This window comes from Homo sapiens, chromosome 1, assembly GCF_000001405.40.
Source record: "Homo sapiens chromosome 1, GRCh38.p14 Primary Assembly".
Classification (NCBI taxonomy): Eukaryota; Metazoa; Chordata; class Mammalia; order Primates; family Hominidae; genus Homo; species Homo sapiens.
In genome coordinates this window covers 54,945,747-54,968,454 of record NC_000001.11, presented here as the reverse complement: position 1 = coordinate 54,968,454, position 22,708 = coordinate 54,945,747, and the positions used below count along the sequence as shown (strand labels likewise).

Here is a 22,708-nt window from a genome sequence, read left to right as displayed (position 1 = left end):
TTATGTGAAATTCGGCCAGGCACGGTGGCTCACACCTGTAATCCCAGCACTTTGGGAGGCCGAGGTGGGCAGATCACGAGGTCAGGAGTTCGAGACCAACCTGGCCAACATAGTGAAACTTCGTCTCTACTAAAAATACAAAAATTAGCCGGGTGTGGTGGCATGCGCCTGTAGTCCCAGCCACTCGGGAGGCTGAGGCAGAAGAATCACTTGAACCCAGGAGATGGAGGCTGCAGCGAGCCGAGATTGCCCCACCGCACATCAGCCCAGGCGACAGTGTGAGTCTTCATCTCAAAAAAAAAAAAAAATTATGTGAAATTCAAAAGCCAGTGTCCAAAAATAGCTTTATTGAACACAGCCACACTCATTTAAGATTTCCGTATTGTCTATGGCTTCCTTAACATTACGAGAGCAAATTTGAGTCATTACAACAGAGACCATACGGCCCACAAAGCCTAAAATATTTACTATCTGAACTTCTACAGAAAAGTTTTCTGATCTTTATTGTAGATACTCCAAAGAACTGCCATATTTTATTGAAAGTAAGATGGCATCAATTGCATGACACCATTAGTTCGTGTGCCACCAAGAAAGAAAGGATGCTGCCAATTAGGCCTTAACAATGAACCTCGGTATCAGAAATATTCAAATTTAGGGGGAAGATGCCTCTTTGGAATGGATTAAATTGTTCTTGAATCCCTATCATGTGTCAGAAAATATGATAGTTATTTTATAATCATTTTCCTAATTAACAATTCCTGGTTATTTGTTATCCCAATTAAACTTTTTCCAAGAGGAAAGAACCATTGTGCCTATATCATAGAAGAAGAAACAGGCTCCGAGGGGTTAAGTGACATGCCCAAGGCCACGGAGATGAGTCAGAGGTCTGACTCCACAGCCTCTTTCCCACTTAATCAGGCTGCAGTGCCTTTCCAGATTCTCCATCTCTTCCCCTGAACCCCGCACTCCAGCTGTGATCAAGTGGGAACCTCAGGTTCTCCTGCCCCCGAGCCGGTACAAAAGGTCTTCCTTCCACTGCCATGTCCCTTGCCCACTCATCCTTCCCACTGCTGCCAAGCCATCCCTTTCCTGAGGAGGTGTTCCCAAATCAGATGAGCACCCCTTTTTTGAGCACTCCCCAAAAGTGTCAGTTTACCTTCCTATTTCTCCATGACTAGCCTGGGTTCCTCAGAGACGGGAATGTTCTCCCTGCACCATCACCAGTACCTGGTGCGGCCCTTCATGCAGAGTGGGAACCCAGCGCTCACTGGCTGTGTGGATCAGCGAGAAATGGGTGGAGGCTCACAGCAAGCAGAGAGGGTAAACATTTTTAAATTACACATTGTCCATTTGATCCCTGGTTCTTACAGCCAACCTCAATCCTCTGTCTCCCACACTTTGCAGACCAGAAGATGGGCATCGAACACAGCAGTGCTTGAGGCCATCACTTGGAAAACTCGTTTCTCCCTGAGTCGCCTCATTTGGGTGTCATTTCCCCAACACTGTTCTCCTGGTCCCAGGGACCAACTCTGTTCTCTACTTTTTCTGTCTCTCATCCACTTGCCCAGCAGCACCTCCTCTCTGGTCAGGCATGGCCGTCATGACCTCAGGGCTGGTCACCATGCCGCTGACTGTTCGAACGTTTCCTCTAATTCTCAGCCGTGCTCTCAGAGATCCCCCATTCTCCACTGACCCCCTGATTGGGCTCTGAAGATGGAGGGTCACAGGTATCTCCTGCTCACACCACCAGCCCCTCTTCTTAGACTCCTAGAAAGCTCCCCTCTGCCCCAGAGAAAGGCAGCGTTGTTTGTTCTTATGGAAATTTCAGCTTCAAGAGGGGATATGGAAGACTTAAAAGTCTATTTGTGAATTATCTAATCTTGTAGATTGACCACTTCATCAGCAGTCCAGTCGCATCCTTGCTAAGAGGAAGAAGAATCTATCAGTCAGGAATACTTTCAGCTACAACAGATAACTCAACTAGCAGTCGTTTAAATCAATATGAATGTATTTTTCTCAAGAAGTCTAGAGGGAGGCATTTATTCCAGTTAGCTCAGCAGCTCAACGTTGCCAACAAGAGCTTATGATCTTCCGTACTTCTGTTCTTGCCAGCCTTTTCTTTGGCCTTTCATCCTCACGCTGACACGATGGCTGCTACAGCTCCAGACATTCGAGGCAGAACGAAAGGGGAAGAACTGGCATCAATCTACAGCTGTCCCTTTTATTGAAAAGCAAAAGCCTTCACAGAAGCCTCTACCCACAGCCCCACAGCAGACTTCTCCTTACTCTCATTGGTCAGAACTGAGTCACCTGACTACACCTAGCTGCAAGAGGAAGAGGGTTGTCATAACTGACCAAGAATAATGATTCATTAGCTGGGCCAGAGAACACAGATGCCCGAAACAGCCATGGAAGGAAACAAGTATGAAAATAGGATAGCCAACTGTAGTGGGTACAGTGAATAGGCTTGCTCATCCCCATTTCCAACTCCTTCCCAGCATGCAAAGGCTGGAAAGCAAAAAACCATGTTTTCCAGACTTGCTTGCTGCTAGCATCACAAATGAAATTTTGGTTTCTCCAGTCAGTTGCACATGAATAGGATTTTGAGTCTAGTGAAGAAACCGGAAGGATGAAGACATTTTGTGGGCATGGGTCCAGCACTGCTTCCTCGTTGTCAAGGGCAGTCTTGCTGATTAGGATAGAAGCAGCAGTTCCCTGGGTGGGCCAGCTCTCTGCTGGTGTTGAGAGCTGTTTCTAGAAGCTCAGCCTAGTGTCTGTGTCTTCAGCCCTCTGAGGCTGTGCACCATCTAAACCCCTTAATGAATCCCTTTTTTCTTTTTTTTGAGACCGAGTTTCGCTCTTGTTCCCCAGGCTGGAGTACAGTGGCAGGATCTCGGCTCACTGCAACATCCACCTCCCAGGTTCAAGCAATTCTCTTGCCTCAGCCTCCCGAGTAGCTGGGATTACAAGCTGCCCGCCACCACACCTGGCTAATTTTTGTAATTTTAGTAATTTTAGTAGAGATGGGGTTTCACCATGTTGACCAGGTTTGTCTCGAACTCCTGACCTCAGGTGATTGACCCACCCTGGCCTCCCAAAGTGCAGGGATTACAGGCTTGAGCCACTGCACCCAGCCAAATCCCTTTTTTCTTAAACACACCACTGAAGTGGACATTATTAGTTCCACTTCACAGATGAGTAAACAGAGGCTCCACTAGAAAAGCTAAATATCTTGTTTCAGGTAACCCTACTAATAGTGGCACAACTAAAATTTAAACCAGGTCTGTCCAATGCAAAAACCTATGTTCTCCCCTCCTGTACCCACCCAGCTGTCTTGACAGTCAAGGTATGGAAAAGGTTTTCCACTCCTGCAAAGGAGTTAAAAGTTTAGTTAGCAATAGAAGACACAGTAGATAACAGTGGTAAAAGGTAAGATTTCAGAGCTGCTATGATAGTGTTATGGCAGGGGTCCCAAGAGTGTCTTGATCCTGCCCTATTCTTGTCATAGGTTTCCTGCCCAAGGCAGCTATAGACCAGGAACAATGGCTGAATGGGAATTGGTAGCCTACTTTATTAGCATTTGGGTCAGTGCCTAATAACTGCCAAAATGATTAAAGTCTGAGGTAGATCATAAAACTTAGACTTGAGGGCAAAGCGAGACTTTCTACCTGTCCCCAGGTTTGCAGGGGTCCAGTAAGGTCAGGTGAGTTCTGGCCTTTAAGGAACAGTAATTTTGCTTAGTGCTATAACTGGGTTCAGTAAATGTCTCAGGCTCAGATGAAGCCCATCAATGGCTTATGGGGTTGAAGAGGTGAGCAGAGGCAGGTCTGATCACAAAGGAAGTCAGAGAACACATCTATCTTACACAAACACTTTCAGAGAATTGAAAAAGAAGGAACACTTTCCAATTCATTTTATGGGACCAAATCAACATTAATACCAAAACCTGACAAGGACATTACATGAGAGGAAAAATATAGGATAATTTCTTTCATGAACATAGATACAAATCCTAAACAAAATATTAGAAAATTAGATATAGTATGCCATTGCACTCCAGCCTGGGTGACAAGAGCAAGACTTCGTCTCAAAACAAACAAAAAAAAGAAAATTAGATGTAGTAATACATACATAAAAAGAATATTACATTACAACCAAGTTGGTTTTATTTCCAAAGTGCAAGGTTGATCAAGCAACATGGGGTGGGTGTGGTGGCTCAGGCCTATAATATCAGTACTTTGGGAGGCCAACGTAGGCAAATTGCTTGAGCCAGGAGTTCGAGACCAGCCTGGGCAACATGGAGAGACCGTTTCTACAAAAGATACAAAAATTAGCTGGGTGTGGTGGCATGTGTCTGTAGTCCCAGCTACTTGGGAGGCTGAAGCGAGAGCATCACCTGAGCCCAGGAGACTGAGGCTGCAGTGAGCCATGATTATGCCACTACACTCCAGCCTGGGCAACACAGTGAGACCCTGTCTCAAAAAAGAAAAATATTAAGCAACAGAAATCAGGGTTTGTCAACCTCAGCACTATTGTTACCGGTGGAGGCTGTCCAGGTCCTTGGCATCTTGAACAAAGAATTGGACAAAACACACAAACAAAGTGAAGAAAGAATGAAGAAATTTTATTGACAATGAAAGTACACTCCACAATGTGGGACCGGGGCCCTGTTACAGAATTTTTGGGAGTTTAAATACCCTCTAGAGGATTCCACTGGTTAGCTGGTGTATGCCCTGTGTAAATGAAGAGGGTGAAGTAAAGTTACATAGTCATTTACTCTGCATCTGCCCTATGGAGAGGATATTTCCTGTCATAGCTGAAGCGTGAATCTGCCTTATATTCCCTGCCTCCAGACCCTATTTTCCTGCCTCATTTCCTCTGTAAGAGATGTGATCCCCATAAATCTTCATGGGAGGCAGAGGGACCAATCGTCTTTTTTCTGTAACTGCTTCATGCTGGCTTGCGGCATAGTCTCTACCTATTAAGGATGACGGAACTCTCTCCCTGCTCTGTCTAGTGGAGGCGGGGTAGCTTCTTGATGGTCAGGGGTGGTGTCTTCACCTGGAACTGGCTGGAAGCTTTGTTGCATGATCATCTAAAACTTGGTGGTCTCTAGGAGAGAAGAAATGAATTTGGCTAAAAGATTTAATGGGAACTTCAGGGGGTGGATACCTCTGTTGTCAAGAATGTTTGCTATAGAGATTTGCAGGAGAAAAAACAAAACCTGGTCTGTTCTAGAATCTGTGTTTCCTTAAAGTCTTAGCACAAGTGACTCCATTTTTGTTTGGTTTGGTCTGTTGGGGCTTAGTGCATGAGCTTAGTCCAAAACAATAGCCTCCCAGAATTTTGTTTAAAATATTCCCCCTTTTTGGTCAGGTTCTCACTTAGGTAAGAGTGTGACCAAAACTTAGGGCCTTAGCACCACTCTCAGTTACTATCATTTTTGGTTTCCAGTCTCAGCCCGTCATTCATGGGTTGTGGTGTCTTCACGGTTGTACATTTCTCTCAGCTTTTGTCATTCCAGTTGAAGAGAGACCATATGACATTCTAGAGATGGCTGCATGCAAGCATTTAAAACCTTTGAGAGAATACAGCACACCAGGGAGACTATTATTATTACTATTGGGAGGATAATACCAAGAATTCAGAGTATGCTTCTTACCCAAGGTACCCATAAACCAAACCTCCTAAAACCAAATAGATCAAAGGTTGACTTAAAGAAGCAGTTTCGTTGTTAATCCACTACAACTGAATTTCTATAATACCAGATGTTTTCTCCATAGGCCATGAGTGCCAGCAGCTGCACAGATACATCTCTGTTCAGCCAATTCTATCGTAACTTTCACAAGAGAATTTAGTTTGTGTCCTTTACAGTAGAATTTGCTATAGAGCCTATCATGAGGGATACATTTTTAATCATTGCTTCTTTTACTTTAAACCATGGAAAAAGGACCTAACAAATGATGCCCTTCTAGAAGAATGAAGGCCTCCTGGCAATGTTCTCTTTAACCCATGATGTGGGTTAAGAGGAATGAACCAATGTTTTGTTTCTGACTGATTATGAGGCAACATATGTACCACTAAAGTTTCTCACCTACTTTGGGCCTTCATCTTTTATCTATCAAAGTATAAGTTTATTCTTGTATAAGCCTGGCTGCAAACTCCTTCACAAATAAAAGTACACCCCATAAGGTCACACAACAGACCTCTTTTCTAATTCTATTGTTCAGAGAGGCATAAGCAAGGGAAATACTCATAGATGAGAGTTTCATGATAGTAGAAGTCTTAATCTGTGAACTTGGGAAAAGCTATTTACATCAAGGATGCCATCCTCCTCTGGGGAGAAATCTCAAGGGTTCCAATGGGTACACAGTTCCAAGAATATGGAGATACCCTTCTCAGTTGTGAGATTATGAACCCAAAGTTCAAGGTCCCGAAGTTCTGTTGTAGTGTGGATGGCAACAACAGTTCTTTCTCTGATCTTCCCAAAAGATTCAAACCATAAAAAGCTTTCTTTACCCAGTGAAAACACACTGTAGCATAATGATCTGCTGTTATAACATCAGCCCTCTTGCATGGGAAAGCTTTTATCAACCAGAAAATATGCATTGATAATAACAATTGAATGAAATTCCTTTATAAGATGTTTAAATGGCCCATCAGGTTACCAAGTGTACCCGATGCTTTAACTGTTTTCCCAGGAATATGGGACTAAACATTGGTTATAAACTATTTTTGTAATTTGTAAGTTACCACACCAATGTATTTAATTTGGATTATTTTATCTTTTCCATGATGAGTCATGGAACGCAAAACTTTTAATAATAAAATCTTTAAGGACTCAGGGAGGACAAGGTGATTATCCTGGTTCTCCAGAAGGCCATGCTTAATTAACATTAGACTAATATCCTCTTGAGTGCCAGTTGTTTTTCTAAATCACAGCACTGATAACTGATGGATTATCATAGGTAATTCGACTTAGACCGTGAAGTTTATTCAAACTGTATATCTAAACAATTTCAGTATCAGCTGGTTTAACATGAAAATCTGACAAAGTATTTTCTTGGTATTTAATTACTTTTTTTTCTACTTGGGTTAGTAGCTTTATAAAAGGAAATTTGGTTATTTCTGTGGTTTACTATAACTTAACATAATAACCATAATTATAATTGATTGATAGAATACACTTAGATGTTAGAATTTTAGAAATCTCATACAATTTTGGAACATATATTAGTATTATTTACAAAAATGTAACTTAAAGAAGACTGGACATCATTCTGGCAACCCTGTGTACTTAAACATGTTAAATAACCCTGTTTACCTCTTTTCTGGATGTTTTCAGGGGCCTCTGATCCATCTAAAAAGCCAGGCATTAGAAAGACAATTTTGAAACTAAATTATTTATTTGGCCAAAATGATGACTCAGAAATTTTAAAGAAGGAAAAACCTTTTATAACCTTTGACAAAAAAACCCCACACATTTTACTGTCCTTACACACCTTGCATGTAAAACTGTTTCTAGCAGTCTTAATTGCATGTTATAATGCTGGCTCTTAGCAATTTTAATTTTAATGTAAAATCTAGTAAGTTATGTTAATTATGTGCTAGGTGCTAATAAGGTCTGATTATTTCCAGCATAGCTAGGGGTGTGGCCAACTCCACATGTCCCCAGGCCTTACCTAGCAGTAAAGGAGGCGAGTTAAACAATTTTCAAAAGCCAAAGAAGCAGCTTATGACCTTAAAGCATATAGCAAACCTAATATTTGAACATAATTTGGACCACATATTTACATTTTGAAGACATTTGTATTCTACTAATAATCATTAAAATCATCTTTATTTCCCAAGAATTACTCACGTCACATGAATTAAATAAAAGGCATTGCACTTTTTACTTTTCTGACAAAATATTTTATTTAAGCTCTTATTATTATTAAACCAATTAATTTAAAACCTTGTAGAGGAAATAAACAGTGGCTTTTACCTTTCATTTAACCAGTTTGCACAGAGAGAAAGAGACCAGAGACTGACTGGTAAGAAATTCTTACCCTTTTGCTGGCATGCCAGGTTTCTGGGCTCTCTCTCCCTGAGTAGCCCTGGAGACCCTGCTTGACTGGATGCAAAAAAACACATTGCCATGAATTAAGAATATTCACAAATAGTTTATAAATTTTGGAGAAATTAGGCAAAGAGAGAGAAATATGTCTTAAATTCTATTTGTGAGAGTATACTCAACACACTTAACGTATCAAGAACCCTAAAATCTAAAAAGTTAGTTTAAGGTTAAAAGGCTAGTGTGCTCCATTAATTCCTGCGGACCTGACAAAGGTAGCTTAGGAATTCCAGATAGATGAAACAAAGGATGACTTGCTAGAAATGCATAGGAAACAAAAACAACTATTCACAGAATGAAATAAGAGCCTTCCACTAAAAACTAAAAAAATCATGGTTTGTTTTGTTTTGTTTTGTTTTGTTTCTTGAGATGGAGTCTTGCTTTGTCACCCTGGCTGGAGTGCAGTGGCACGATCTTGGCTCACTGCAACCTCTGCCTCCTGGCTTCAAGCTGTTCTCTGCCTCAGCCTCCCAAGTAGCTGGGATTACAGGCTCCTGCCACCATGCCCAGCTAATTTTTGTATTTTTAGTAGAGACGGGGTTTCATCATCTTGGCCAGGCTGGTTTTGAACTCCTGACCTCATGATCCATCCACCTCAGCCTCCCAAAGTGCTGGGATTACAGGCATGAGCCACCATGCCAGGCTAAAAAACATCATGGTTTTATATATATGCATACATAAACAAAATCTAGCAGAGAATAAACAGCAAACAAATGAAAACTAGATGCAAAAATTAATAAACAGGAAAACAACCCTAAATCTTTTCTACTTAATTTACTGTGGAAGCTATAGTGTTATACAGAGCTCCCCCACCAAAAAAAAAAAAAAAACCCACATCATACATCCTGTGCAATTAAGAAATTCACTTTAGGCACGTGACCAATAAGTACTCCAGTGCCGGCACTATCTACACAAACAGTAAACATGGTGTGAAGCAATGCAAGTGTGTATGTGAAATTTGGCTCCACACTAAATCTGGCTTCATGCTTAACTACATTAAAAAAAAAAAAAAAAGAACTGCCAAACTGCCGATGCATTTTCTACAATACTTCCAATACTTCTTATTTTATTTTAATCAAGACTAAGAGCTTTAACTACAAAAATGTTAATTAGCCAAATGTCTCCAATTCTTTATCAGGTTTTAAAGAATATTTTATTATCTAAACTTTTTCCACATTTTTCTCCCCTACTACTTAATGGTTCCTTACTACATTGTTTCATAAATAACCTTTTCAAATCTGTAATTTGAACTAACTTTTGGATAACTTCTGAATTAGACAAAATTATTCTTTTTCTCACTAATAACCCTTTTGGGCACATTTTGTACACAGAATTATGTGTTAACTAGGATTCTTATGCTAAAATTTTAGTGAAACCCTAAAAAGCAAGAAATCCTGAACTATTAGATATGGGCATTTATAGATAAGAATAATTCCACAATTTTAGAAACATATTTCCCCATATCACAACACTTTCATAATTGGAAATGACCCAGATATTAAATGAGCATGAAAAATAACTTTAAGATTTTAATTTATGCAAAAGGTTTACCTAAAACATTTATCCCATTCAGTACTCAATTCTTTCACTTTTAACAAGGGAGGCATGAGACATTAATTAACATATGTAAAATGAACATTGGTTCTGTCTGGAAAGGCAGGAAAACTCAAAGCGGGAGAGGGGACTTGGGGCTTCCAGGTCACAGGTAGGTGTGAGATAAATGGTTGTATTCTTTTGAGTTTCTGATTAGCCTTTCCAAAGGAGGCAGTTAGATATGCATTTATCTTAGTGAGACTTTGAATAGAATGGGAGGCAGGCTCAAGCAGCTCCCACTCTAAATCTTCCCTTCAGCCTAGTAATTTTGGGGGTCCCAAGATATTTTCCTTTTATAAATTACTCACATTTGTCAAAAGAAAGCACACAAACCAAGATTATTTTGTTTTGGCTGGGTTTATAGTTTTATAACCTTCCACGCCAAACACGGACATCTCAAAATATCTAGCAAAGACAAACATAAAATTCAGACAAAATGTATGCTGACAGTTCTGAAGGCATTTTTACTTTTATTCCAATAATTTTAAAGCTAGCTTGCTTAGTAAAGTTGCACTTAAGTCATGTGAACTTGAAAATTGCTTAGGCTTATTTACTTAATTTATAAGCCCTCTTTTACTTATAAGCCAATTTGGTAGACACAACATGGAACAATAAGTGTACATACAAATAAACACATATAGACATGTATACACACACAAATGAAGATCCAATAGCTTGGAACCTTAGCCATGAGATAGCAGTACAAAAGACATGTATATACCCACACACAAACAAAGATCCAATAGCTTGGAACCTTAGCCATGAGATAGCAATGTTGGGAATGAAGTTTTTGGTGTTGCAAAAGCCCAGCTAGCTCAGTCGGTAGAGCATGAGACTCTTAATCTCAGGGTCATGGGTTTGAGCCCCACGTTTGGTGCCAAATTGTTGTGAATTAAGATTTCGGTGTCACAAAAAAAAAAGAATTAATGCAGGAACAAATGATCTCTCAGCAAGGTGAGCTTTACTTTCTGCAGAAAGGGTGCTACTCAGTAGCTGTCCAGCCACAAGAGAACACCGAACAAAGGAGACAGAGTTATTTATAATCTGATGCATTTACCCTACTGCTGTGTCCAGTTTCCACTGGCTGGAATAGGACCTCACACTTTACACTTTACCCGATTGTGGCTATTAGCTTAAAACTTTCTTAATTAGGTAAGGGGAACAGAACAAAGAAAGAAAAGGAAGTTATCTAGGGATAGTTAAGGAAGAATCTCCAAATAAGGAATGGCATGCACTATGGGCTGGGGCTTGCCTAGTTCTGTCCAGGTATGCCGGAGCAAGCTAGGACAGCTGATTTGGAATATATATATATATATACATATATATATCAAATATATATATGTGTATATATATACACACATATATATATCAAATATATATGTGTATATATATCAAATATATATGTGTATATATATATCAAATATATATGTATATATATCAAATATATATATGTGTATATATATACACACACACATATGTACACACTAATAGTGGTTAACAGTGTTATAAGAAGAAATTATGACTTTTTATAATCTTTGAAGAAGAACTTTCCCATTTCTCACAGCAATACAAAGACATGTAGATACACACACAAACAAAGATCCAATAGCTTGGAACCTTAGCCATGAGACAGTAATACAAGCTCGTTGTTTTTACTTTGTTTGCACCAATAGATAATCCAATGAAGGCTGTGAACCAAAATTTCACGTAAGGCAGTCTCCATGGCAATTTGATTTTTAAAGGCCGAATTTCCCCAGACTCCAAAGAGTGCTGGGGCTCCAAACAGCACCAAAGGAGAGTGTCACACATTAACCAGGCTCCCTTCTTAGAACAGCAGCACAAAAGCCTGGATACATGCAATGCCATTCCACTTTCTCATTCAACGGTAAACTCCAGATTCCAAACAATGTTGGGTCCAAACAGCATTGCAACTGTGAGAGAAAATTAAAAGGAGGGCTTATTACTAGACCTCAGAACCTCTGCCAAGAGCATCCCCTTCAGGGAGGTTGAGGTCTGTAGGATCCCCTGGAGCATCCGTCCTCCTGTGGGGTCCAATCTTAGAGTATTACAAGTCTCTGACCTTAGGTGGGCACAGGTGCCACTTTGCATGCTTTCCCTCCAGAGCCTACTATGAGCTTTCTCTCGGTACCTGGGTGTAATCTCCGACTTTTAGCATCCTTATAATTTGTTAAGGCCACGCTTTCCCATGTTTCCCATTCCATGAACTTTAATGATAGGAACTGGAGGCTGGGTAGGCTTCTTTTGCCCTTAGCCAGTTGAATAGGGGAAGGAAAGAATTTAGCATAAAAAAATGGTTTAAGTCACCTGAAACGTGTGAGTTTGCTCTGCACTGGATCACATGTAGGGACCAGGGACCACAAGCAGAAAATATTTTTTTAAAAAAGAGTCCTTTCCCCTTCCAGTTAGGGCAATTATTCCCATTCACTCCTTGGCCTTCAGGCAATACCAGGGAATGACCCCAGCCAATTGCCCTCAATTTCCAAAGAGCTACTAGGAAATAGTGGCTGAAAGACTGAAAAAGAAAGGGGGAAGAAAAAAAAACAACCCTGGTCCCTTAAGCGAACAGGGTGGTGGCGGTTAGGCACCTCCATATGGGAACCCCTTAGTTTCACCAACCATGGCCAGAAACCTGCAGTTGCTTCTGTGTTTAGGCATTGTCCACCAAGGGTCTTGAGTTGGAAAGGAAAAGAGAGAGACAGAGACAGATTCCCCTGTATGGAGCAGAAAGAAAAGGGAAAAGGAGAAAAATAAATCCCAAACTTTGGGCCTAACTTCTCCTGGAATTTCTCCTGGCAGGCTCACCAAAATATGTTCCCGGTGAAGGGTGGCCAGGTTCTTGGCATCTTGAACAAAGAATTGGACAAAACACACAAACAAAGCAAGGAAAGAATGAAGAAATTTACTGAAAATGAAAGTTTACTCCACAGTGTGGCAGTGGGCCTGAGCATAGGGGCTCAGGGGCCCCATTACAGAATTTTGGGCAGTTTAAATACCCTCGAGAGGATCTCACTGGTTACTTGGTTTATGCCCTATGTAAATGAAGAGGAGGAAGTAAAGTTACAAAGTTATTTACTTGGCATACACCCTATGGAGAGGATATTTCCTGTCATAGCTGAAGTGTGAATCAGACTTATGTTCCCTGGCTCCAGACCTATTTTCCTGCTTCACTATTGGATCATTCTTTGTTGTGGAGGGCATTTTCTGTGCATTGTAGAAGGTTTAACAACACCCCTGGCTTCTATGCACTAAATACCAATCACACACACACACACACACACACCCAGCTGAGTTAATAAAAAATGTCTCCAGAAATTGCCAAATGTCCCCTAGAGAGAAAAATTAACATCAGTTGAGCACCACTGATGAAAGCACTGATGATTATCTCATTAACAGAAAAAGTAGAAAAATCTATAAGATTATTTTACCAGATGGAGGAAAAGCATTTGATAAAATTCAACGCCGATTTATTATTTTTTTAAGAATTAGCAGTCTAGAATAAGAGGAAATATTTAATCTGATAAAAGGTACCTACTTTTAAGCAAACATTTTAAATGTCTGTAAGCAAATATTTTAATTAATAGTGAAATATTGAAAGTTTTCCCACTGAGATGAGGAAAGAGACAAGGATGTCCACTGGCATTGATTGTATTACATTTTATTGGAGATGGTCGCTAGTGCAATAAGGTAAGGAAAATAAATAAAAACAGGAAGAAATAGGACTGTGATTATTTGCACATGATTGTCTACCTAGCAAATCCAAAAGCATCTGTAGATGAAGTTAGCAAGTTTACCATATACAACTTCAATAAAAAGTCAACTTTTTGAAATAAGCCCCTAATAAACAATCAGAATATAAAAGCAATGGGGACTATAATTACCTATGTCCTTTCCACCTCACTGGGCTGCTGTGAAGGTCACATTGGATCATTCCAGGTTAAAATGCCCTGAACATCAGTGTTTCTGAGGACAGAAGGGAGGGATTCCCACATCTTAGAGTCCTGGGGAAGGAACCTGGGGCTGGGACTTGAAGGATAGAAAGCAAGGAGGAACAGAAACCTCCAAAGTCCAGCTCTGCTTGCCTCTCCAGCCTCCTCCCTGCAGCCCCCACCTCACACTCCATGACTCTGCCTGTTGTTTCCTTACCTGTCCTGCCTTTGCCTGCCGGGCACTTTCCTGATGTGTCTTTGCACACGTTGTTCCTCCTGCCCAGAATGCCTTTCCCTCCTCCTTATCCAGAGAACTCTTATTCACTCTTCAAGACCTGACTAAGATGTCCCCTTTTTGTTGAACACTTACCCACCTTTCCCAGGCAGAGTTAGGTGTCCTTCAAGTTTCCCCATGATGAGCCCCTCAGTTTAGCAAGCATGCATTTCATGTCTCCTGGGCAGGAGTGAGATTCAGATGAAGCAGACAGTCTCTCTCCTCATAGGCCACCCTCCAAGCCTCTATGCTCTCCCTCTTCCTTTGTTGGCTCACCAAATGCAGAGGACCTGAGGCGGGGGGCACTCTGAGCCCTTGGAGGGTGGCAAAGGTGGCAAGGCCGTTAGATGGAAGGATCCTGAGTCCTTGAGTGACTGTGTGGAACAGGATTCTCCCCACACACCATACCTGATTTTTATTAAACTGTGATGTGAGTGAGTAATCTCCAGTGTGGTAAGTGTTGAGAGCGGAGGTTATTTGTTAGAGCAAGCAGTGTATTTACTCTAATACTCCTGATGACTGTCCTGACTCCAAGACCAGACAGATTAGAGTGAGGAGTGAACTGAGAGACAGCTGAGGGCCTAGCAGCCTTGGGCCAGGAGACAAGGAGGTCAGAAGAGAATGCCCCACCAAGGGTGCTGAGGTCTTAGAAGCTTCCCCACAGCAGAGGTGACCTTGCAAGAATTACTTCCCCACAATGAGACTCTGTATCCTCATAAGCCAAATGCGGGTGAGCGTGCCTACCTTGTATGAATATTAAGAGCTTCACGAATTACATATGTAAAGTGCTTCAGAGATCATGCTGCCTTATTAATGTTTGTGTCCCTCACTCTCTATTGCATCTCTACTTAGAGGGCAAAGTAAGACAACTGGAAGAGACACAGAACAGCCTACACTTACATACCAGTTATTATATAATGGGCACTGTTCTAAGCACTTTACAAAATAAACTCATTTAATACTCAGAGCAACCCATTTTACAGACGGGGAAACTGAGGCACAGTAAAGTTAAGTCACTTAACCAAGTGGACATAGCTTTAACAAGAAGTAGAGCTGGGAATTGAACCCAGTGTGGCTTCAGAGCACATGCTCACGGCCACAATGCTATACTTCCCAGTGGGGAGATCCCTGTTGGAAAGAGACAGAGAGAGCTGCTGATACCAGGCATCTGAGAACTACCAGAGCCAAACCTGACTTCCAGCCATTCTCTGGCTTAGCAGAGTCGAGGAAAAGCCAGGCTCACTTGGTGTCTCTCTCCAAAGAAGAAAAACCAGACTAAACCTTGTGCACAGAGGTAAACCCTTCCTGGGAACTTTATTCAAGGAGAGGTACATCACGTGGTTCCTGTCCAGGAGGCCCTGAGTCATCAAGTGGACAGTGACTCCTGTTATGGTTTTGCAAAGGCCTAGACCTGCAGGAAACCATGTGACATTTGGAAGCACTTGGACACTGTTTTCTTGTAAATTCCCATGTTGGAGTTCAAACTGTGGCCTCCATTCACCAGGACCAGCCAACCTAATGCCAAGGTGTTAACAGATCCTGGCCAGGTATCCTGTTCTGTCTTGGAGAGCTGAAGTCAGGACACTCAGGATGCGGCCCTAGACAGCCCACACATTGACTGTGAGACCTAAGGGACGTCACTCACAATTCTATGCCCAGGGAGGACCCATCCTCAAGGGAGACTCCTACAGGCTGCGGGCACCTGAGACAGCCACAGCATCACCTTTATCTCTCCCTTCCCTCCAGCATGCATGGGGGCAGGTGGGGAGTGTGAGCTCTGTAAATGTGGCTGGAGGAATCCAACCAAGGTGGCAGTGCAGGGCTGGGTTCTGGAGGCTCTGATAAAAACATTTTATTAATAAAATACAGTAGTGTTCCTGGACCCCACAACTTATCCAAAGTTAGCCTTTGGGTCAGGGGTTTCCTCAGTATTGTCCTTTTGTGGTCTCCAGAAAGATGTTGCAGGAAAGGGGTCCCAATCCAGGCCCCAAGAAAGGGTTCTTGGATCTCATGCAAGAACGAGTTTGGACGAGTCCATACAGTAAAGTGAAAGCAAATTTATTAAGAAAGTAAAGGAATAAAGAATGGCTACTCCACTGACAGAGCAGCCCACCAAGGGCTGCTGGTTACCCATTTTTATAGTTATTTCTTGATGAAATGCTAAACAAAGGGTGGATTATTCATGCCTTCCCTTTTTAGACCATATAGGGTAACTTCCTGACGTTACCGTGGCATTTGTAAACTGTCATGGCGCTGGTGGGAGTGTAGCAGTGAGGACGACCAGAGGTCACTCTCATGGCCATCTTGGTTTTAGTAGGTTTTGGCCGGCTTCTTTACTGCAACCTGTTGTATCAGCAAGGTCTTTATTACCTGTATCTTGTGCCGACCTCGTATCTCATCCTGTGACTTAGAATGCCTAACCTTCTGGGAATGCAGGCCAGTAGGTTTCAGCCTAATTTTACCCAGCTCCTATTCAAGATGGAATTGCTCTGGTTCAAATGCTTCTGACAGTACTGCTTCTGTTTGCTCTTACTTCTCCCACGAACTCTATGATTTTTTTTTTCTCACATGTATCTTAACTCAGGACAAGAGAGGAATGATTATTATCCCCATTTCCCACTTGAAGAAAACTTGGTTCTGAGAGGTTAAATTGAAACCACCTTTGCAAAATTTTAACTGAGGAAATTATGAGAGTGAAAGAAATCAGACCTAACCGACTCCATCTTGCTTCTAACCTTTAAGCTGTCCTTGTTCATTCCTGGGCGTAGGCCGAACTAACTTTGGGAAGGAATTCAGCTCATGGCTTGACTCTGAAACAAAATTGATAATAGCCCTTTCCCGAAAAGACCTCCTTCTCACCTGGGGACCAGTCTGCCCGTGCAGGACTAACAAATTATCTATAAGATTAGAAATTACCGTTTAGGGAGTCATGCAGCCTCTGACTCCAACAGTCTGAACCTCCCCAAATTGCTCCTGGGGATAACATCACTATTGTAAAAGCTAAGACTAGTGCTTGAAATATTTTGCAGACCCTGCACTCGATGGATCAGCTGACACCACCCAGACTGGTAATCTGGCTCAACCAGTTCTGCCATCCCACCCAGAAACAGAAAACAGCAAGAAAAACTCACTTCGACCCCCTAGGATTCCATCTCCAATCTCACCAACCAGCACTCCCCACTTCCGAAGCCCCTACCTGCCAAATTATCTTTAAAAACTCTGACGCCGAAATGCTCAGGGAGACGGATTTGAGTAATAATAAAACCCCGGTCTCCCGCACAGCCGGCTCTGCATGAATTACTCTTTCTCCACTGCATTTCCCCTGTCTTAATAAATCGGCTGTGTCTATGCAGCGGGCAAGGTGAATCCACTGGACGGTTGCAAAATGACTTGCCCGAGGTCTCACCGCTTGGTCAGAGTCCGGCACTATTGGGCGGCTGGCGGATGCCATGGGGTTGTTGAAGGAGGGCCTTTATTTGTTCTTGGAATCCTACCCTGTTTCCCAGGCTGCGGGAGGGATAGTTGCAGCATGGTAGAATTGAAAACAGCACAGCCCTTGGGTCAGTTTCGTAACTTGTGAAGACTAAGTCAGGGTTCTGTTTGTTCAGCAACACAGCAAGAATCCCAGCTTTGTCACAGAAGGATGGGAAAAAATACAAAAAGCCTATGAGCGCCACCTAGTGATGAGTTCCGCCATCACATGTCTAATTGAGGAGTTGCGGTAATGGAGGACATTGTGCTTCCCAGGCCCCGTGAGCCACAGGGGAAAAAATACACGGCTGCGTCCTCAGGGCCAGGGGCTCAGCCCGCCAGGCTGTTCTCAGTCGCCCGCCTGCAGCTCAGAAGGCTCACAAACGATCGTTCATGGCCCGGGGCCGAGGCACCTGGCACTGTCAGGCACTCTCAGGCACGATGTGGTCAAGCTGCCTACTTGGTGGTTCCTGCCATGCCCTTCCTTCTCCTTCCTTCTTTCAGGGTCCAGAACTTCAGCTTTCACTCATTCCGCAGCCACTATGCCAGGCTCTGTGCTGAGCACTGGCCGTCTGGCCATCTGCCAAGGCTGATCCCAGGGGCAGCCATGTCCTGTGCTCCTGCGAGGGCCGCATCCCCCTCCCTGCTCCAGCTCCCTCCTCCCAGTTCCACGAGCCTAGCTATGACATTCACTTCCACCCCCGGGGATCCTCCTCGTCCTACACCCAGCCCCACCATTACCACGCCTAAATAACTTGTGCATCCCTCCCTTTCTCTCCCTCTTGCTCATTGTCCTAGTTCAAGCCACTAATATGTCTGCCCTGGACAGCTTCAAAGCCCCCCCCACTCACAGGCCTGCACCAGCTCTCCACACCGTGATCAGAGTCAACCTTTTGGAAGGGAAATATGAGCAATGGAAATTTCCTTGTTGAAACACTCCAGGGCAAGTTTCCAACTCCAGGACATGACTAAAAGGGAGGAAAATAGGGAAAATGTACAAGATGGATATATAAAGGGAATATAAGAACTAATATATATGACCGGGCGTGGTGGCTCATGCCTGTAACTCCAGCACTTTGGGAGGCCCAGGCAGGCGGATCGCGAGGTCAGGAGTTCGAGACCAGCCTGGACAACATAGGGAAACCCCGTCTCTACTAAAAATACAAAAAATTAGCTGGGCGTGGTGGCGGGCACCTGTAACCCCAGCTACTCTGGAGGCTGAGGCAGGAGAATCACTTGAACCTGGAAGGCAGAGGTTGCAGTGAGCCGAGATCATGCCATTGCACTCCAGCCCAGGTGACAGTGCGAGACTGCATCTCAAAAAAGCAAAAATGTAAAGAAGTTTTTTTTAATTTTTAAATCATAGTCTTACTATATTGCCCAGGCTGGTCTTGAACTCATGGCCTCAAAAATCCTCCCACCTCAACCTCCCAAAGTGCTAGGATTTCAGGTGTAAGCCACCACACCCAGTCATAAGGAAGCTATTTTTTTTAAGTGCCCCGTGTTTGGTACCCAGAAGATCTTTAATTCATAGCCACTAGAACTTTGCTCCTCAAGGTGTGTCTGGAGACCACAGTCTCGACCCCACCTCAGACCTCCTAAAGCAGGATCTGCTCCTGGGCCAGCATGTGCAGGGGAGCAGAGGGTGAGCTCCAAAAGAGCAGGCCCTGCCCTGTCACCTCTGTATCTGATATGGTTTGGCTGTGATCCCACCCATATCTCACCTTGAATTATAATAATCTTTACGTGTCAAGAGTGGGGACAGGTGGAGCTAACTGAATCATGGATGTGGTTTCCCCCATACTGTTCTCATGGTAGTGAATAAGTCTCATGAGATCCGGTGGTTTTATAAATGGGAGTTCCCCTGCACACGCTCTCTTGCCTGTCGCCATGTAAGTCATGCCTTTGCTTCTCCTTTGCCTTCCACCATGATTGTGAGGCCTTCCCAGCTATGTGGAACTGTGAGTCTATTAAATCTCTTTCCTTTATAAATTACCCAGTCTCAGGTATGTCTTTATTAGCAGTGTGAAAACAAACTAATACAGGCCAGGCACGGTGGCTCACGCCTGTAATCCCAGCACTTTGGGAGGCCGAGGCGGGTGGGTCATGAGGTCAGGAGATTGAGACCGTGCTGGCTAACACAGTGAAACCCCGTCTCTAATAAAAATACAAAAAAATTAGCTGGGCATGGCAGCGTGTGCCTATAGTCCCAGCTGCTGGGGAGGCTGAGGCAGTAGAATGGCATGAACCCGGGAGGTGGAGCTTGCAGTCAGCCAAGATCACGCCACTGCGCTCCAGCCTGGGTGACAGAGCAAGACTCTGTCTCAAAAAAAAAAAAAAAAAAAAAAAGACGAATACAGTATCCCACCCCAGCCCTCACCTGGCTCGCAGGGAATGCATGAGAAAGAACAGAGGAAAGAAGGTACATATGGCAGGGCCTGTCCCAACCATGCCTCTTCTAGGCTGGTCCCTGTGCACCCCAGCGATGTAGAACCACCCTGTCTGGCAGACTCAGTGGGTTTGTTGTGCAGACATTATAACCTTGACGTCATTGTGTGCAGGGCAGACAATCTCCACATAACCTGGAGCAGCTGCAAACACACTGAGAAGCCACCAGTTTGTTACGAAAGCTTTCTCATTAAGAAGGCAAGAATAAAAAGCACTGTCATTTCTCCTTTCCAGAAACCAAGGAAGTGCCTCACCCCTTCTCCCCATCACTCCCTGCCAAGTACTCCTTTTCACCCTCTTGGGTCCTTTCTCTGCATTACTTATGTCTGGTAGTAAGGGGAGGAGGGCTCTCTTCACAGTTAAAAGTATACAAAGTCTTGGCCGGACATGGTGGCTCACGCCTGTAATCCCAGCACTTTGGGAGGCCGAGGCAGGTGGATCACAAGGTCAGGAGACTGAGATCATCCTGGCTAACTTGGTGAAACCCCGTCTCTACTAAAAAAAAATACAAAAAATTAGCCAGGTGTGGTGGCGGGCACCTGTAGTCCCAGCTACTCGGGACGCTGAGGCAGGAGAATGGCGTGAACCTGAGAGGCGGAGCTTGCAGTGAGCTGAGATCACACCACTGCACTCCAGCCTGGGCGACAGAGCAAGACTCCGAAAAAAAAGACTCTCAAAAAAAAAAAAAAAGATACAAAGTATTTAATGACAGTTGTCTAAGACTAGGAGATGGGAGGGTATGGCAGTTGAATGGGGTGTGTGGTCTCCACCACATAGTTTGCTGTGTAACCCTGCAAGCCACTTGCCCTCTCTGGGCCTTGTTTAACTCTGTGGCAAAATGAAAGCAGGCAAGGATGGGCAGCTCTTCTTCCTCTCAAAGGTCCTGATTTCGAGGAGCCAGGCCCTGGATCTGTTCTTCGGCTAGAAACAGGCATTGTGGTCAGATGTGCATTTCAAATGTGAATCCACCCCTCACCAGCTGGGCAATCCTACCAGTGATACACCTTCCCCTCTCTGCATCTCAATTTCCTCTTCTCAGCCGGGCGCGGTGGCTCACACCCATAATCCCAGCACTTTGGGAGGCTGAGGTGGGTAGATTACTTGAGGTCAGGAGTTTGAGACCAGCCTGGCTAACATGGTGAAACTCTACTTCTACTAAAAATACAAAAAAATTAGCCGGGCATGGCAGCAGGCACCTGTAATCCCAGCTACTCAGGAGACTGAGGCAGAGAGAATTGCTTGAACCCAGGAGACGAAGGTTGCAGTGAGCTGAGATGGCACCACTGTACTCCAGCCTGGGCAATAGAGAAAGATTTTGTCTCAGGAAAAAAAAAAAATCAATTTCCTCTTCTAAATTGGGTTTTAACAGCGCCTACATCTTAGGGTGGTTGGGAGGTCTGTATGTGCCCTTTTACAAGCAGTGCCTCCATCATAGGAGCCTGGAGTTTGTTTCTCTTCTCCTTAGTTTCCTAAAATGAACACTAAAGTTAGCTTTGAAAATCAATCCCAAAGGCCGGGCGTGGTAGCTCACGCCTATAATCCCAGCACTTTAGGAGGCCGAGGCGGATGGTCGGAAGTTCGAGACCAGCCTGACCAACGTGGAGAAACCCGGTCTCTACTAAAAATACAAAATTAGCCAGGTGTGGTGGCACATGCCTGTAATCCCAGCTACTCGGGAGGCTGAGGCGGAAGAATCGCTTGAACCCGGGAGGCGGAGGTTGCGGTGAGCCAAGATCACACCATTGCACTCTAGCCTGGGCAACAAGAGCGAAACTCCATCTCAAAAGAAAAAGAAAAGAAAAGGAAAGAAATCCCCAAAAGCTCTTCGGGTTGGGGGAGGGGTGCAAAGCCCAGCATCAACTCATGGAAGACCAGAGTCCCAAGGTGCATTAACAATCTCCAAACCTCCCCATCATGGCCCAGTGACCGTCAGGCCAGTCTGTTGGGCTGATTTGAACGTCATCCCTTACAGGTGAGCTGCATTAGCCACAGTCTCCCTGAATCACCACCCAGCTGGCTGCCAGCATCGTCAGAATGGGTGAGGGTGGGGAAGAATGAAGGGGCGGAAGGGGTGGGAAACTACCCATATTTAGAGATCTACCATGGGCTGGGTCCTTCTCAACAATTCCATGAAGTAGATTCAATTTCCTCATTTAATAGAAGAAGGACCCAAGGCTCAGAGAGGGGCAGAGTCTCGCCCAAGTTCTCCCAGCTAGTTCAAGGTGGAGTTGGGGGGTCAGATCCAAGTCCAGTCCGAAGGCTCAGCTTCTCTTCCCTGGCAGTAAGCACACTTGTTGTCCTGCATTCACTCACCCCAGTGTTCAAGCCTGGGGCAGCTCTGATGAGCAGGCAGGAAGGGCTTTGCTCTGCTCTTCCCTGGACCCACTGGGGCAGGCACGGGCTACCAGAGGGAAGGATGGGGGTCATCAATCACATGTTCGTGCACACACACACAGCATGTTCACCATTTGATCTTGTCCAAGTAACCTCTGTGTTACAGAAAACCCCAGGAGCATTCTAGTTTCTAACATTTTTCTTCCAGGTGCCTACTACTTAGCCCATGACTGATGATGCAGTAACCTCAGCTTCTTCCTGGTCTCCCAGCTCAATGCTGGAGGTCTGTCTCCCTCTCTTCTCACAAAGCCCTCATCAGAGTTCTTCAGGGACCTCACACCCTCCACAGGAAACAGGCCAAGCACCTTAACCGGAGAGCTTCTGTGACCTGGCCCCTGCCACCTCTCTAGCCCCTCTCCCACCTCCCTTTTCTCCCCCTCAGACTGCAACCACCCTTAGCCACCACCTGTGGCTTCTCTCCCTCTTTCCTGCTTGCACAGAAGCCTCTGCTGCCTATGCCAGCCC

At 44.1% G+C, this 22,708-nt stretch overlaps 1 long non-coding RNA gene and 1 other non-coding gene across 3 annotated transcripts in view, besides 1 other annotated feature; one reads left to right on the top strand and one right to left on the bottom strand.

Annotated features, from left to right (window-relative positions):
* The window catches only part of LOC124904184 (uncharacterized), a 72,878-nt gene that overhangs the window by 5,588 nt on the left and 44,582 nt on the right, over positions 1 to 22,708 (bottom strand). Inside the window, exon 3 of one of the 2 annotated variants that reach the window (XR_007066101.1) lies at positions 4,604 to 5,112. The exons of the other annotated variant lie outside the window; for it this stretch is intronic. This is a non-coding gene — a long non-coding RNA (uncharacterized LOC124904184). Of the gene's footprint in view, positions 1 to 4,603; positions 5,113 to 22,708 lie in introns of those variants that run through there. 2 annotated transcript variants of the gene reach the window in all.
* TRK-CTT7-1 (tRNA-Lys (anticodon CTT) 7-1) lies at positions 10,514 to 10,586 on the top strand. The gene has a single exon. It is a non-coding gene; the product is annotated as a tRNA-Lys (tRNA).
* Positions 17,496 to 17,545: an enhancer, noted in NCBI's record as "active region_1068". NCBI's record gives its function as "activates an Ori minimal core promoter by ATAC-STARR-seq in GM12878 lymphoblastoid cells {active_cell/tissue: GM12878}" and the evidence as "EXISTENCE:reporter gene assay evidence [ECO:0000049][PMID:35858748]".